The 19330-nt window shown below is 38.4% G+C and overlaps 1 long non-coding RNA gene across 2 annotated transcripts in view; it reads left to right on the forward strand.

The window, feature by feature from the left end:
• Positions 1-7384: 7384 nt before the first annotated feature.
• The window catches only part of LOC105371261 (uncharacterized), a 29761-nt gene continuing 17815 nt past the window's right edge, over positions 7385-19330 (forward strand). Inside the window, exons 1-2 of one of the 2 annotated variants that reach the window (XR_933564.1) lie at positions 7385-7948; positions 11109-11211. This is a non-coding gene — a long non-coding RNA (uncharacterized LOC105371261). The remainder of the gene's footprint in view (positions 7949-11108; positions 11212-19330) is intronic. The other variant, XR_007065213.1, reaches the window with a different exon arrangement.

Consider the following 19330-nt stretch of genomic DNA (forward strand, 5'->3'; position numbering starts at 1 on the left):
TACAATTATAGCAAAAGGGGGAGAGGAAGAAAGGACCTTCTTCACATGACAGCAGGAGAGGGAAGAGCAAGCAAGAGTAGGGAAAACTGTCTTATAAAACCATCAGATCTCATGAGAACTCACCCATTATCTGGAGAACAGCATGGGGGAAACTGTTCCTATGATCCAATCACCTCCCACCTTTGAGACGTGGTGATTACAATTCAAAATGAGATTTGGGTGGGGGCAAAAAGCCTAACTATATCATTCTAGCATCTAAATGTGAAGGTCACCTTTTGGGATACAAGGAAAGGCATGATTACAGTGTGGTTAGAACACTAGCTCTGGATTTCAGATCTTAACTTGACCACCAGTAGCAGGGTGATCCATTTTTTAACCACTTGATCTTCCTCACCTGCAAAGTGGGTATAGTGCCAGTATATACCTCAATGATAATTCAAAAGTCTACATTCAGTAAACTCCCTGGCACATAGTAAGGGCTCAATAAATATGTGTCATCATTATACAAGATAATAAAGGAAGAAGTCTAGCTGCTAGTATGGACAGATTCCCTTTGATAAGAAAATGCATTCAAAAATCTTCTTCTCCCATCCTAGCTTGGAGGATTTCCTGGCTCCTTTATAGGCACTAGAGATAAAGGAAGAGACAGAAATTCCTTCTTCCTCAATCCTACTGTTTAGAAGTGGGTGGGGGCTGGGGCCTCAGGTCCTAGCCTTGGCATCTGGGCCCATTGCCTCTCAGAGCAACTTCTCCCCCATCCCGTGCCACTCACAGGCCAAAAGGGTTAGGGGAGGTGGGTCTGAGCAGATGACCTCTGGGACTCACAGGTCAAACACAGGCTGGGAAGGGGAGAGACCGAAGGAGCAGCAGCTGCTATTTGCTGGGCTGTGCTCCCTTGGAATTATTTGTTTAAGTTTCAATGAAATGATTTTAATGTAGTGGATCTATATTTTATGTTCAGTTTTTTCAAGAAAAGATTTTCAATCTGCAGTTTATTTCAGAAAAGCCCCAGTCCTCCCTTGAGGTTGTTGATAGTAACGTAAGTACTCAATTATTTGGTCTGATAGGAGAACAATTGTTCAGGGTCACAGACCTGACCAGGAAATCCCAACATCAACCACCAAGACCATTCCTTCTGCTTTGATAATTATTTTAAACAAATAATATAGTTCCATGATTCTAAATTCTAAATCTACCCCCAAATTTTCTCCTACTTATCCTCATCTCTAGTTCATTCCATAAAGGCGATGACTTTATTAGTTTCCAGATTTTATTTCTGAATCTTCCTAAAGTATTATTAATGTCTAATCATAAAAATATGTAAATATACACCCTGTTGTTGTTGTTTTCTGTAGTTCTTTTTAATAGGAAGTATTTCTCAGGCCCCCAGATAGCTGCTATATTTTTACTTCCATATGCTAAAATACGTACTGAATTTAGTGGCACTTTAAATGAACTAGTGTTTTATTAATAACAACATCTGCATTCATTTTAACAACTTCTCTTGTAGGTGTTTAAGAACACCTATACTTCACTGTATCATGCAGCATCTAAAAGGAATGAGGTAGCTCTATCTGTATCAGCGCTAAAAGATCTACTAAAAAGAAACAACTTTAGAAATAACCACTTACACTATAAAAGCAATGATATGAAAACCATCCCCAAAATACTCCAAATTCATTGGGCACCTACACACAAGCATACAACACTCTCTTGAGAGTTATATACCAAACCAAGAACAACGGGGAAGGGAACGAAATGGAAGGGAGTCAGGGATAAATAGTCCAAAGGGCCATTAGCTGAGAACACACAGCACTGGGACAGGCCATTAGGCAGCACTCATCCTTTATGGCTGGCGTCCACCCGATTGGCCATATCACATGTGGAACTGTTGTTAGGTATTTTGAATATTATCCGTGGTCATTAGCCTTATCTTTACTGTTCAAATATTCTTAGCAAATGAATTCATATATTTCTTTTAAAATTAAAAATTATATATAGAAAAGATTGTACATGCCAGACGTATGTATTTCATCCACCAAAAGACTTGAGAGTTCATGGCTTTGTAGTCCAGAGACTGCAATCTACTGATTCATTCCACAAATCCATAATTTTCCAAAAGCTCAACACCTCCATCTGGACTCAAAAGTACATCAGAACCCCACCTCCAACCTTGAAATGGCCTCTCCATGTGTGGAGGTAGATTAAGCCCCTATTGTTCAAATCCCAATCCAATCTTCATTCTCAGCCTAAGACACTTGGGCAATGAGAAATAGGGAAAGAGGGCCCCTCTTCGGTCATTCCCACCTAACAAGCTGCAAAAGCAAAAATTGTTCATCAGAAATCATCTCTGACAACTTATAGGGATCGGTAAACTTTTTCACAAGGGTCCAACTAGTAAATATCTTAGGTTTTGTGGGCCAGATGGTCCCTGTGAAAATCACTCAACTCTGCCATTGTAACACAATACTAAAAACAGGGAAATGAATGGGTGTGACTGTGTTCCAATAACACATTCTTTACAAAAACAGCCTCCAGCAGGACATGCTTCACAAACTCCTGAGGCTGACAAGTACTATTGCCAATACCTTGTCTCTCTCTAACTCATCACTGGCCTGAAGTAGCAAAACCCCAAAGCCAGATGGAGAGTCTCAATCCAAAATAACATCTTCTACATTAGGAGATCTGTACAGAGTAAAGGGCTGCAAAGCGCTTCCATCCCAGCATTGCCCAGTGACCTCAGAGATAAAGGACTCTCTGGGACTAGGTAATGTTCAACTTCCTGTACTCAAGGAATTTCAGGTCCTCAGTGTACACAAACTGACCCCAGACATCAACACAAGAGCTGGATATGGAAGAGAAGTTTCAATTTTGGTTCTCAAATCTGTATTTCTCTCTACATTGAATGCTTGTCTCCTTAATTTAAGTAGAAGCATAGAGAACTGAAATGTAGAAGTCAGTCACAAATCCTACCTGGGTTGGGCAGACTTTCCCTGATAAGACCCTATCTATTGTAAAGCTCCCACATCACACAAGAAATCTATCTTTATCTTAAGTAATAAGCATTATGCCAGTCAATCTTTCTGTGGCAGGTTGACACATCATTAAACCAAGGCATGAGGATTAAAAAAAAAGGCCCCATCAAACCATCACAACTCCCATTTCTTTTATATGTAACAATGCAATAAAGGTAACTCTTAAAATTGCAGATGTCCTGCATTCAGCCTGATCAGATGGGGTTATTCCAGGTTTTCTCCAAAATTGCAATGCCAATTGGGGTACCAGTTTCAAAGATAATACTAAGTAAGTAGCTCAAGGAACTGAAGAAAAAAAGAAACATAACAGAGAAAATCATTTTCAACTCCTACTAGAAACTGTTGAAAGCTTTTTTTGTACCCAATTAGAGATTAGAGAAGGTGGAGGAAGATCTAAACATCGTGATTAGCGTGTTATTTTTTTTTCTTCTTGCTCCCAATTAAAGAGGGGTTTCTTCTTTCACTAGAGATGCACAGTTATTAAATCATGATGTCTTTCTTTTAAAAACCAATTTATAGCAGAGGGCTCCTCCATACCACTGCCACTTCTGCAAGGTTGCTTATAATTGCTCCATGCAATGCTTTGACTAATTAAATCACAGGAGATTGTTTCTTAGTAACACACCTGGTCCACTCTTTGTTGTTGGCTTTCATTAAAGCACGGTGTCTCATGCTGCCTCATAGCATGAAAGGATATTAATCAGGTAAATGGCCATTAAAAGTCATATCAGTGTTTGCTGTGCAGTGATTGTTTTCTCAAATCTTGAACAAAGGAGGTTTCTTTGAAATCTCAGGGCTGGCCTCCAATCACAGGGAGAATAACCAGGTTGAAATGCTTTGTTTTTCAACCTTACCAAGAAGAAGAAAAAAGGAACAAAATGCAAGATGTGGCAAGAAGTTAAATTATATTTTTTGCACCACTGAGCTATTTGGGACAAAGAGGGACAAGGTGAACAAACTGCAATCAGTGTATGGCAAGTGGGGGACAACAGATAGGAAGTGTTTTCTAATGGCCCCCATTCCCTGGGAGAGCAAAGCTCGACTTTGGAGGCATTGCTGCTAATTAGGTTGCATTTCAGAGCTCTAGTTAGAAATAAAAATGCCCCGGGAATCGAATGCTACTTGCATATTAAATTGAAAAGGGAAAATGTTGCTAAATATCTCGTTTTGTCAAGAAAGTATCCTTTATGGTTTACTGATCAGGTACTGTATCTGGACATGGAATATGGTCACGCCAGTTTGATTTTTGAGTTACTTTGCTCCTCACCCACCCCCACCGCCCCAGAAAAGCCCCTACAAATTAACATGTATTTATATAGCCTAGCCCACATCTAGCAGAGCAAACATTCCATTCAGGAGAGGGAGAGAGGTGACTATAAGGCACCTGAATAAATGACCAGCTTGCCAAAGGCATCTGCGTATAATCCTGGATCCTGCAACCTTTTCTTGTTTTCTGCCATAAATGGCGATTTGTTCTGGATTGAGCATGTGGCCTAGTAGAAACTGGGGTAAAGCATTCTGCTTAAGAACCCAGGCTCTGGAATACACATTCTGGGGTTGGAATTCCATGTTTGCAACCTTATGGCTGTGTGACCGTCAGCAAATTACTTAAATCTTCTGTGCCTTGGCTTTATGTCTATAAAAGTCACAAAAATAACAGTAATAAGACTCCTACAGTTGTTATGAGAATTAAATGAAAGTATTATATATAGTCTGAGATACACACACCCACATATATTTATATATACACACATTATGTATATACACACGCACAAACACACACACACACACACACACACACATATATATATATATATATAGAGAGAGAGAGAGAGAGAGAGTCTGGTTCATAAAAAGTCCTCAATAAATGTTAGCTGTTAATAGCTGCCAAAGGCTTACACAGTATATGTATAATAATACATATATTTTATTCAAATCAGAATGTCAAATGGAGACTCAGTAACTAAATACTCCTGGCGGGTTGCCTTTTGTGATGCTGTATCATGAGAGAAGGGTGTGAGCTTGAATTGGTGCTAACTGAGTCAGTGGGGAAATGAAATCAAGGTGGCCTGTTTTGGGGCACTTCTATGGCTCTCCAGTGGGATCCCAGCAAGAGGCTTCTGCCTAAAGCCAAGCATACCTCACTGGGGCAGCCTTTGAGACGGTTGTCCACGCTGCCCACTGCACAAGAGCACCCAGAGAAGGAACGGGGGCTGAAATTGAGACCGCGGCCCACAGTCCACTCTGCATGCATTTGAGCCAGCTATGCCTGACAGGGTCTTCCAACAGAGAGAACCTCTGGGCATCTTCTTTTGGTGCAGCCTCAGTTGCCTGCACAGGGGCCTTCCTGACACTTCCCAAAGGACAGAACGGGCAACTGCAAATGACAGAAAGGCCAACACCACTTGGCTCAGGCAGGAAGGCCAAGAGCTTGCAAAACCAGGAATTGCTGGGGGTGGCTCCAACTCTGAACACAACACGGCACCTCCAGGGCCCTGGGCATTTCCAGGGTCCAGGGCCCTGGGCGTCTTCAGGCTGCCTTCTCTCTCCCAGCAGATCCTCGTTGCACAAGGCTGTCTAGTGCTCCATGGTGACCAGAAGAAGGGCAGCACCTCCAGCTCACTAAAGCACCTGTGCAGCTCTCAAGGCTCCAGAGAAACTTGCCCCTCATTGGTTGGGATCCAGTCACGTGCTATTCCTGACCCAATGACGCTGGGCGAGAGGAGCTGATATTCTGATTGGCCATGTTGGGGAGGGCGGCGGGGTGGTTCCAGGGTATTTCAGGCCCCATGGGTGGTGCCACAAGCATGTGACCTTCAGGGCTCAGAGTTGGAGACAGCAGGCGAGCTGGTTATGCAGGGGAAAGCGGAGGTGCTGTTACTAGAAGTAGCATGACTGGATGTTGGCTCAGTAAAATGGCAGACGTTCCGTAGAATGGAGAAAGGAGGAGGCCATGGAGCAGTGGGATGGGGCTTATAGGGAAAGCAACATGACAGGCGTTTTCTCCCTAGGTGTCTTTCTGAAGACTGTTGCTGACCGTTGAGCCGACATGGACAACCTGAAAGCCCCTGCTGTGGCACACAGGGCGTCAGAAACTGACCTAAATCTCGAAGGCTGTGGTTCTCACATTCGTTGCACATTAAAATTACCCGAGGAGCTTTTCAAACATCTCTGTGCCTGAATTCCACCCCCAGAGATTTATTTAACTGTTGGAGAGGGGATGGGAAGAGGTTAGGTGCGGATATTTTTTAAAAGCTTCCCCAAGTGATTCTGTTCAGCCATGACTGAGAACTACCATCCTAGGGCATCTGCCTGTATTCTTTAGCAAACTTGCTCACAGAAGGGGGAGAAATTACCAAACTCCTGAGAATCCTCATCCTGGTTAGACATACTAATTTTCCCCACTCCAGGGCAGATTCTAAGATTAGGGGAATTATGCTAGGGGCACTTGGGAAGAGAATGGGGGGTTGCTCTTTTGAATGATGAGAAAATAAGTAAATTAAAAGGCACCACGCTTTATCTTCTCACTGTTTTGTTTTCACACTGCTTCCTCTAATATGCTTTTACACTGCTTTCAACAGCCATGATGTCATCATATAAGCTTACAAAAGAAATTGCGGAAAAGGTGGAACTTTTGGGAAATGTGCTCAGAGGAGGAAATTATTCTCCTGCCCTTACTCTCTCTGTCCACCAGTTTCATTTCTGTCCCCTTTCTCCAGAGAAAGGGGGATTCCTTTTTTTTTTTTTCTGATTGGAAGGAGACCCCCATTCAATGTTTGTATGGGTTCTTTTACTAATTACAATAAAAGAGTTGCCATTCAAGAAGCCAAGTTTCTAATGAGGAAGTGAAAATAACCACCCTGCATATTAACTGCCGACCATCTCCACTTGCTGGATTAAATGTCAAGAAAAGATGCATTCACTGCTGGGTTTCTAATCTGCTTTGATTCACTAGTCTGCTTATGCATACTAGCTTTCCTGTTTTTTTTTAAGGTGTTATTTTCTTTACTGTTTAACAGGCTCAGGAAAGGCTTAAATTCATGAAGAGTGGGCCTGTAATAGGTTTGCAAGCAGAAAGTTAAGAATGCCTGGGATGTGTCTTGGGGTCATCACCAGTGTGGGTTACTATTATATTCACACACAGTAACCATCTGTTGATATTGAAGGCAGTACTAGAACACAGCCAAGTGGTACTAAAACACAGTCTCTACCCCCACCCCTACCCCAGTCTACCCAGTACAACAATTTTTATATGACTTACTAAGATTTAAAGGACCCCCTCAGATGCCACTCTTTTCCATTACTTTCACATGGTCAGATTTATTCTGAAATGTACTCATCATGAAAGTTTATTGCATTCTTTTTTTGTTCTTTACATCCTCTCTTGTATTTGTAAACCACATCCATTTTACAGAACACTTTTATGTTTGTTATCATATTTTAATCCTCACAGCCACCCTGGAATAATGAAGTATGTTAAGGACACAAATGCTGTTAATGATTCCACTCTTTAAGGTGATATCTTAATTAGTCAGTGAATGCACAGTTTCATGGCAGACTTTTCGAATGCTTTGGCATATGACTGCAAGTTAATGGCCTTCCCTGATGGGTGCTGCTATAGTTTGAATATGTCCCTCAAAGTTTATGTGTTGGAAACTTAATTGCCCTTTTAACAGTATTAAGAGGTGGGGCCTTCAAGAGGTGATTAGGCAATGAGAGCCCTACACTCACAGATGGATTAATGCCATTATCAGGAGAGTGGGTTAGTTATCATGGGAGTTCATAAAAGGATGAGTTTGGCCTGATTTTCTCTCTCTTTTTCATGTGCTGACTTCCACTTTCTGCCTTGTGCCATGGGAAGACCCTCACCAGATGACAGTGCCATGCTTTTGGACTTCCCAACCTCCAGAAATGTGAGTCAAACAAATTTCTATTTTTTATAAATTACCCAGTTTGGGGGTATTCAGTTATAAAAAGAGAAAATGAACTAAGACAGGTACATAACATTTTCATATAACCCAAAAGCACCAATTTTTATTATCCAGTATCGTGTGCTACAGCCACCCTCAGCTGTTCTTTGACCCTGCCATCCCATTAACTAAGGATCAAGTTCAAATGCACACAGTGACAAGGAGGGAAGAGTAGTTTCATAGCAAGGGATGTATAGGGACTATGGCAAACCAGAGAACACAAGCCACTTATTGCCATGAAAAAACAAGGTCCAGGTGTTGCCAGATCTTTCACTTTCTCAAGAGAAGCTTTTAATCAAGATCCCAATTTAATATCTCTATCTTTACATTGTAACTAATCTTTTTTTACTGTCTCTCTTTCTAACTGTATAGGCCACATCAGTCATTTTATTCCAGCTGGATTCAACCTGTACACTGTTATCTGTGTCTCCTGCTCATTCCTCATTTTTCTATTTTGATTAGTTCAGGATTGGCAATGACAACATCACTCACTCAAAACAGCCAAATCAGTATGTTATGGGAGAACCAAATGGTCAGTCATGTCAAATTATCTTTTCTCGTGCCTGAGTATCTCCTGCACCAAACAATTTTGATTACCATCTCTGTCTGTTTCTATTGTAACTTAAATATAATTCTGATACCATACATATCCCATTGAATGGTAATTGTCTATGTAGATATTTCTCTCCTATTAGATAGCTCCTTAAAAGCTAAAACTGTTTCTTTTTCATCTTTCTGTCCCCAGTTGCTAGTCCACAATGGACCTCAATTTTTATTTAATGAGCATAGAAAGCTTTGCACAGCTATTTGTAAAAGGAACAATTTTAGTGATTTGGAAAAGTGAATAAACCCTACTGTGATGTGTGTATACATACATATACATACACATACACATACACAGATACATACAGACACACGCACCACACCCCTAACAATATCGTCATCACACAACCGAATCCTGTGGTTGGCCCATTAGGAAAGATAAGGCCAAGGTTCTTTATAATCACCAATAATAATGAATGTAGTTCTGAGAACAGAAGTAGTAAGCAATGAACTTGAACTAGATGCTTCCCCAGATGCTTAAACATTTATACTGGGCTCTTGAAATACACTTCCTCCTCCTTCTTCCTCCAAGCTTCCATGACTGATCCCCATCCTATCACTTTGCCCTGAACCCCAGCCAGAGCAACATGGACACAGGCGTCCATGTTCCTATGTTGCTTCCTCTCCCTGTACACTCTGTCCCTCCCCCGTCCTATTCATCCTTCACAGAAGCTCAAACTCCATCTTCAGTAAAGTGTCCTGGTTGCTTCAGTTACAGAAGACCTCTTCCATTTCAAAACTTTTGTAGTGCTTATAATCTAGTCCTTCCACTTTGCTACTTTATTATATTTAGTCTTTCTTGTGTTAATGTGTAGTTGCATCCCTCATAAATCTTTATAATTATTATTATAAAGAATATTGTCTTTAAAATTGTTATTTTGAAGGATGAAATGGGAATGAGGAGACAGAGATCTACAGATTCACAGTAACAAAAGTTGTTATATTGTCTTCACTAATTTTGAGATTAATAGATCCTGTGCATAGCTATGAAATGTAAATATCACTGAATAAATCCAGTGTTGGAATACGTTTAACTTCTGCTCAAGCAATGGCCTTTGTCTTTTTATCATGCATATTCTTGATATCTTTTTCTCTCTCATTCATTCAGCAAAATTTATTGAGCTCCAATTGTGTGTCAGGCACTGATCTAGGTGCAAGGGATACAGCTGTAAACAAGAGACAAGATTTATGCTGTCACTCAGCTGACGTTACATTAGAACAAGCAAACAATTTCAAACAGCAATTACTACCATGAGGAAAACCAGGTTGACAGGCTAGAGAATACCTGGGCCTGTGAGTGAGGTAACAAGCTTGGTGTGTTGATGGAACAAAGGCAACACACAAAGCCACTCAAACTAAAAGATTTCGTCACAAGTACAAGTGTTTTATTTTTCCCCTTAAGTAGAAGTTGCTAGATTCTAGACTCTACTGGTTGCCTCACTTTATTTTTCAACATTTTAACTAAACTATAATATACCTATAGGAAAGTACACAATCATAAGTTTACAGCTCAATGAATTTTTTTCTCAGTGAAGACACCTGTGTATGTACTTAAATTAAGAAACTGTGTATCACTGGCCACGACTATCCTCAAAAATGCCCCTTGTCCTTCTTTTCAGTGACTAACTCCCCTTTTTATCACCACACATGAGGTTTACCTGGTTTTTAAATGTATATGAATGGAATTAAGGTGTTATTTGGTAGTCTCTTATTGAGTGTACTATAATTTATTTCTCTATTCTATTGTTAATGGGCATTTGAGTTATTTTTAGTTTTTGACTATTAAAAATACTGCTATTATGAAGGTCTTTGTACAAGGCTTTGGTATTTGTATGTATACATTTGCTTATATAGGGTGTTTGTATTTCCAGCGTTAGTAGATGCTGCTAAAGTGGTTGAACTAACTTTTACTTCTAAACCAGAAGTTAGTAAAATTCAGTCACTCCATATCTTCACCAACACTTGATGTTCTCTGTCTTCTGCAATTTAGCTTTTCTAGTAGAATCACAATAATATCCACTATGACTTTAATTTTCATTTCCTTTATTATTAATAAGATATTGCTTTTCATATGTTCATTGGTCATTTAGATATCCTCTTTCTGAAAAGACTGTCTTTCACCTATTTTTTATTGGGTTACTTTTTCCTTTCCATGTAATTTGTGGAATTTCTTTATATATCACAAATATTTATTAGATATATGTCTTGAAAATGAATTATCCCACTCTGCTTTTTTACTTCCTTAAATTTGGCTTTTGATCTACAAAAATTCTTAAGTTAATTCAATGTTTCATTTTTTTCTGTATACATGCATATATATATATATATATATATATATATGTTTTTCCCTTTGAGTTAGTGTTTTACAAAACCTTTGAAGAGATCATTAACTACCCAAATCTCATGAAGTGGTAGAGCTGTGGATACACAGTGACAGCAGGGAGGAATAGGTTTGGTGTCCAGATGATCCACTTGGATACCTGTTGGTCTTGCTTGACAGATGATATCTGTAAATACACAAGTACAGCAGCCATGGCTTGGGAAGGGCATAGTGAACAGGAGCTCGTACTGCTCAGAAATAAGGATCTGGATCACAGCATCAGGTAAGCCACCGAGGTCAGCAGAGGTGCTAGGTAACAGTGAGGAGAATCCAAAATGGCAGAGAAGAGGGAAATGGTGACTATTAGTTATAGCTCTGAGACCAGCTGCAAGTGGCAGGAGCTGAAGATCATACCATTAGCCTTCATCTGAATTTCCCTTGGGAAAAGAAGCCCATTGGAGTTCTGGCGTGGGGGTGGCTGTTCCCAGAAGCTCCATGAAGAGGTGAATTGGAGTGGTACACGAGGTGGACTGTAGTGCATGTGGTAATCTGCCTCGTTTGGTAAGTGGTGTATCCAGCAGGCCTTGCCTCAGGACCATAGACATATGATGTTTTATTGGACTTGCATCGTATATCCACCTAATACACCCAATTCTCTAATCCTTTTGTTCTTTCCTCCCACTGACTGGCATGGTGGTTCTTTACTGCCATTTCTGGTTTTCCTAGCATTTCTACTTCATTTGGTGTAGGCCATCACTATTTTCATCTGTGTAGAAGCCACTCTAACAGTGTATTTGTGCCATCTTCCAGAGTCCTTGCCAGGATGTTAAACTCTGCATTTGACAGAGTGTTTCCCAATCAATGAATTGTGTCTTACTGAATGTTCTATTCTCTCCCTAGATCAAGCACCTTCAGACTACAGTCCCATAAACATTTTCTAGTTTCTATTCATACATGTTACCTAGGTCTTACATCTCCTTTAAGTCTAGACCCTTTTCTCCCTTATCAGGCCCACTATATCCCTGCCCAGGTTATTTTGGACTTGACCCTTGTTATTTATAGTCTTATTGGCCATGATGAAAATGGGGGCATATCCTGAAGGAGTGGTTGGCATGTGTCTTGCAGGGGAGAGATGTCTGCAGTCTTCAAATAAGGGAATGTGGTAGGCCATTAAGGCAGTTGTGCACCATTTCTATATGTTCAGAGGCTCAGGGCGACCTTGATATGTAAGGTTTTAGTCTGCTTTAATTCTCCTCTTTCCTAATCAAAGACATAATAGATGTGCCTAGGTTTAGAGTTTAATTTCCAATGTCACTCATATGATGAAATTTTGGGCCTGGTCCTCAGCTATCTCTGCCCTTATGCTGTATGAAATGTAAGTGTCTTTATTTGCTATCAAGCAGGACCTCTGCATTTCCTCTTTATCTTTTCACTGGCAATTAATTACTGTCAGTCATTCATGATGTTTTTCCGCAGCATCAGTGGAGCTTAGTAATAGCTATCTGAGATGACTGTCCCTTTTTTATGGTTACCACATTGTTTCTCAAATGCCTGCTATTGCACCAGCTTGTGAATTCCCTTCTGCTAGTATGCTATCCTAGTTAACCAGCAGTAAAAACTCTAATAATTGCATTGCCACCTCATGCCAGGAACTATCTGTATTCTTACCACCAACGAGTCCTCCTTGCCACTTGGACAGCAGCAAGTGATCCAGCTCCAAAATCCCATCTCAGCATCTGCTTTCTCCAACTACTTCTAATACCAACTGTTGCAGATCTTATTCCCCAGAAAGCAGAATTTGAAATGGAGACTAGTGTACAGGAAGCTTTTGGAATCAACACTTATGGAAGGGATGTGAATAAAGTGGTACTGAACAGGAAAAGTTGGACTGTAATATAGTCTCAACAAAGTCCTCAGTCAACTGTATATGGAACTGTACAGCTACAACCCTCAAATTCAAGTGACAGAGCTGGGATTTTGCACGTGCACATCCATCAGTTATTGAATAAGGCTGCTCTGAAAAGGGAGTATGGCCTAGAGCAAGGTGACTCCCTTAACTGAGACAGCTGTAAAATGCTGGGAGTGCTGCCTGCAGAGAGCCCTCAGATTTTAACCCCTTTTAAAGTGTGGTGTAATTTACTATACCAACAGAACAAAGAAGATTAAGTTGGCACTTTTATTTTTACTTCAACCCAAATACTTATTTCTCTCCTCTTACTGCAATGAGCCTCTGATATGGTGACAAATACAAGTAATGATAGTCAACATTTTTGTTTCATTCCTAGTTTCAAGGAGGAAACCTTTTACATTTTACTAATAAATATCATATTTGCTATAGGCATTTTTATCCATACCTTTTATTAGGTATTAATTTCCCTTCTCTTTCTAGCTTTTAAGGAACAAATATTGAATTTAATTAAATGTATCTTATCTATTGAGATAATTATATAATATATTCAGATTATTATCTTTTATTCTATTCACATGGCAAATTATAGTAATTTTAAAAAGCTCAACTGGAGAGATGGGGGACAAGATGGGTGACTAGACAAACCAGGAAACACTGCTCCCATGGAAGGGACCAAAATATCAGGTAAACCAATGTAATTTGAGCAGGTCATCAGAGAGAAAACACCGAGAGTGGATGGAGAGGTGACACGGACTCAGAGGCTGAAACAGGGCGAAGCTTGGAACCCTGCATGGTGTACTCAAATTCCAGGGCAAGGTCCTAGCAAAAGGCTCCTGGGGAAGGGTTGAGTGAAGGGACTGAGGCGCAGGCCACTCTCACCACTAATCTCCGGGATCCTAGATACAGAGGTTCCTGTGACCCCCATAAACATTTGAGCTAGAAAGGGGATCTGCTGAGAGAGTAAGCAGAGACAGGCCTTCAGCCAGTGCAGAGTCCAGGGGCTTTTGTCTGTGGAGCAGCTCCGGTGGAGTGGAACCATAGGCACCCATCCCCCAGGGCTCCCCATCTCCCTCTGAGAAGCTCTAGCCCTAGCTGACTGCTGGGCCAGGAGAGAAGAGAACTAGCTTCTCCATGGGAATGGGGTGTGTGTGTTCTGCAGGCTGCTCACCAGCCCCTTGCTATGCTTCTGCCTGGCTGTCCGGCAGGAGCATGTGCCCAGTACAGTCTCTGCTTCCCAACCTGGGTGCTTTGCTCCACCTGAGTACTTTTCCAGTGACCTGGGAGAACTTTGGATCCCCCAGTACAGCCAGAACCCAACACTAAGCCATGGGCCAGTCAACACTAGAGAGTGCTAAGCTGAGATCTGTGCCAGAACTCAGACTGGGGAAGAGCCCCAACTCTCAGAGCACTGACAGGGGTGAGACATACAGGTTTGTGGGCTGTTGTGGGAGCAGGGTGTGCCTTTCTTTACAGGGCCAGTCCAGAAATGGTGTGGCCTATCTCACTGCTTCAGCCTCTACCCAATGAGTCCCATAGCCAAGAACACCTAACATAAGAAACATGGGTGTGGTGCCAGTGATTGGAGGGGCTCCCCCAAGGTCCAGGGGCAGACCTGGTGAGGAGGTCAATTCTCTCTTCCTTACCAGTGTAGAGCACATCTGCAAATATGAGGAAATACAAAAGAGACACATGGCTAAGAGCCTATCAAACAGCCATTACTCTTAAATGCCAACTACTGGATAGCAGTTCAGCCTACACCACCAAAAATATTCTGCTAACACCTGTGAACCCAAGAGTAAGAATCCAGCCACATGTAAAAACCCTGTACAGAGCCTTGGCCCTCTGAAAGCATATAGAAACTAAGCCAACTGAGTACACTTATCTTACACCACAATTGAAAGAACACCAACCTTCCCAGATAAGAAAGAATCAGTGCAAGAACTCTGGAAATTAGAAAGGCCAGAGTGTCCTCTTACCTCCAAATGAACCCACTGGCTCCCTGGCAATGGTTCTTAACCACACTGAACTGGTAGACATAGAATTCAGAATCTGGATGACAAGGAAGCTTATTGAGATTTAGAAGAAAGTTGAAACCCAACCCAAGGAATCCAAGAAATCCAGTAAAACAATACAAGAGGTGAATGATAAAATCACCATTTTAAAAAATAACCTAACCGAGCTTCTGGAACTGAAAAATTCACTACAATAATTTGATAATACAATCAGAAATATTAACAGAAGAATAGACCAAGCTGAGAAAAGAACCTCAGCACTCAAAGACCAGTTCTTCAAATCAACTCATCAGATAAAATTTTTTAAAAAACTGCAGAAATTAACAAAACCTCTGAGAAATATGGGATTATGTAAAGAGAAAAAAACCTATGGCTCATTTGCATTCCTTAGAAGAAAAGAAAGCACCTCGGAAAATATATTTGAAGATATAGTCCACAAAGATTTCCCTAATCTCACTAGAGAGGTTAACAGAAAAATTCAAGAAATACAGAGAACCTTGGCTAGATACTGTACAATATAACCATCTCCAAGACACATGGTCATCAGATTCACCAAGGTCAACACAAAAGAAAAAATTTTAAAGGCAGCTAAGAAGTTATATAAAAAGAAAATCCTTTTAGGCTAGCAGTGGACTTCTCATCAGAACCTTACAAGCCAGAAGAGATTAGACGCCTAATTTCAGTATCCTTAAAGAAAATAAATTCCACCAAGGAATTTCATATCCCACCAAATGAAGCTTCATAAACAAAGGAGAAATAAAATCCTTCTCAGACAAGCAAACACTGAGGGAATTCGTTACCACTAGACCACCCTTACAAGACATGGAATTGAAAGAACGACACTTGCTACCACAAAAACACACTTAAGCACATAGCCCACAGACATATAAGGCAACTACACAATCAAGTCTACATAACAACCAGCTAACAACACAATGACAGTATCAAAATATTACATATCAATATTAACCCTGAATGTAAATGGGCTAAATGCCCCACTTAAAATACATAGAGTGGCAAGCTGGATAAAAAGACAAGCCAACCATCTGCTGTCTTCCAAAGAACCGTCTCATATAACAAAACCCACACAAGCTCAAAGTAAAGGTGTGAAAAAGACTTACCATGCAAACAGAAAACAAAAAAGAGTTGGAGTTGCTATTCTTAGATCAGATAAACAGACTTTAAAGAAGGACATTGCCTAATGATAAACAGTACAATTCAATAAGAGTTAACTATTCTGAATATATATGCACCCAATATTGGAGCATCCAGATTCATAAAATAAGCTCTTAACCTACAAAAAGACTTAGACAGCCACAGAGTGACAGTGACAGACTTCAACACCTCACTGACAGAGTTAGACAGACCATCGAGGGGGAAAACTAATAAAGAAATTCTGGACTTAAACTCAACACTTGACAAATTGAACCTAATAGACATCTATGGAATATTCCACCTAACCACCATAGAATATACATTCTTCTCCTCTGTGTGCAGAATATATTCTAAGATCAACCACATGCTCGGTCATAAAGCAAGTCTCAATAAATTCAAAAAAATCAAATCATACTCAAGCACACTCTCTGATCATGATGCAACAAAAATAGAAATCAATACCAAGAGGATCTCTTAAAACTATTATTATTTATACCTATTATATTATGTGTAAACAATAATAGTTATATATTATATAATAATATATACAATAATAGAACTATATTGTAATAGTTATCCGGATAACTATATTGTAATAGTTATCCGGATAACTATATTGTAATAGTTATCCGGATAACTATATTGTAATAGTTATCCGGATAACTATATTGTAATAGTTATCCGGATAACTATATTGTAATAGTTATCCGGATAACTATATTGTAATAGTTATCCGGATAACTATATTGTAATAGTTATCCGGATAACTATATTGTAATAGTTATCCGGATAACTATATTGTAATAGTTATCCGGATAACTATATTGTTATAGTTATCCGGATAACTATATTGTTATAGGCAACTATATTGTTATAGTTATATATGTTATAGTTATATATAGTTATATACAATATAGTTATATGTGTATGTGATACATATATAACTATGTATGTATGTGATACATATATAACTATGTATGTATGTGATACATATATAACTATGTATGTATGTGATACATATATAACTATGTATGTATGTGATACATATATAACTATGTATGTATGTGATACATATATAACTATGTATGTATGTGATACATATATAACTATGTATGTATGTGATACATATATAACTATGTATGTATGTGATACATATATAACTATGTATGTATGTGATACATATATAACTATGTATGTATGTGATACATATATAACTATGTATGTATGTGATACATATATAACTATGTATGTATGTGATACATATATAACTATGTATGTATTATAGTTACATACAATATAGTTATATATGTATATATACATATAGTTATATATAATACATATATAACTATATATGTATTACAGTTACATACATTATAGTTATATATGTATAAAATACATATATAGTTATATATAATTGTTATAGTTATATACATTATAGTTATATATAGTTATATATGTATTATATATAGTTATATATGTATTATAGTTATATAAAATATAGTAATATATGTATATAACTATAGTGTTTTTTATATATAAATATATAAATATATAAATATATATATATATATATATATATACACACACACACAACTTAGATTCTTAGGATAAAACCAACTTAGTTTTTTATTCCTTTTACACATCTTTTGAAAAATTTTTTGCCAGAATTTTGGATTAAAATTGTTATGTCTATGTTTTTGAGATATTGGTCTATAAGTTTCCTTCATTGTACTGCTTTGTCAGATTTTGCTTTCAAGGTTATAGTGACTTTATTAAGTGAATCAAGAAATTTTCTGTCTGTTTGCATAAAACTGGTGTATATTCCCTAATTGTTTGGACCAATTCGATAGTAAATCCATTTGAGGCCAGGATTTCTTTGTGAGAAGGTTTTTATTGAGGATTCTTTTTTTTTTTTTTTTTTTACTAGATATAAGACCATTCAGATTTTCTCTCCCTTCCTAAGTCAGTTTTAATAAGTTATAATTTATTAATACCTCCATTTTATCTTAATTATCAAAAGTTTCTACTTAGATTCTCATCCTCCTTCTGCTACTTTCTACATGTTTTTCTCCTCTTTGCCTTGAACTACTTTTTAATTGGAGATTGCTTTGAGTGAAAAAGTGACTGAGACTATTGAACTTCTCTGCACTTTCATTCTCTTCAGCATCTTGACCCCTCAAGTCTTCCTACCAATGCCTTCAAAAAGATATCTTTTTAAGTTTTATTCAGCATTGCTAGTTTCTTTTAGCAGGAGGATCGGTCTACCCATCCATGTTAGTTCAAAATGGAAATGCTCTCCATATTGTTAAAATAAATATCTGACTGATAAATGTAAATTACATGCTGTAATTAATCTATCTCGTATCAAAATAATGTTACAAATTTTTTTTGTAGGAAAAACACTGATTATTCTTATATTGCATTCTATTTCTCCTCTATTATATAGCAATCTCCTTAGACACAGAGACCATGTATCTCTGCATAGAAAAATAAATTTGAATCCAGTTATTGAATACTTATTCATGCAATTCAAAAAACACTAGAATTATTACTTTCAGCATATTAGAGATTCTCAATTAATGTAGTCTATTATTATCATTATTATTATAAGTGTATTATTCTATTTCTCCAATGCAATTCTCAGTAAAACAATAAAGTTGTTACACTAATAAAATTTGCTGAGACTGACTTAGCTATTTATCTAATTCGGTAAACTTAGTTTAATGGACAAAGCAATCATCATGTAAAACTAAGGTCCTTAATTCTTCTCTTACCTGAAAAACAGACTATACTTATCACCACTTATGTTAATCTCCTTATTAAGATCAAGAATTATTAAGTTTTACACTAGACACATACATACAACAGTGTAACAGTCATCAAATACATATGCTAGCAAAGGAAAGTTTATGTAGACAAATGAAAAATAATCTGATAAATTCAAAATTTAACCAAATTTGTCCACCCTCTTTGTTTAAGTATTATAGATAAAGGTAAATTTTAACGGATGTAAACTCTTCCCATTTGTCTGAATATAAGCCAACTTCATTAAATGCTTTCTGAGTTTCTGTTTTGTTTTGAGAGCCCACAGGGTCAAGCAGTTAGTATTTGCCAAAATATCCCATGTCATTAAGACAGAAATTAAGTCATCTGGACCAAACTTTGTAGGAACAGCCATATTTTGAAAAAATTAAGATAAATTCTGGCTGCAGGTCGAAATGATAGTGATAGCAAAACTTTAACTGCTAGTTAGCCTGGTTAAACTCTGCTCTGAAATGTCTTTTGTTAACCTGATCTCTCTATTTAGAACTCCATTACCCTGTGTT

This window comes from Homo sapiens, chromosome 16 (assembly GCF_000001405.40).
Source record: "Homo sapiens chromosome 16, GRCh38.p14 Primary Assembly".
Classification (NCBI taxonomy): domain Eukaryota; kingdom Metazoa; phylum Chordata; class Mammalia; order Primates; family Hominidae; genus Homo; species Homo sapiens.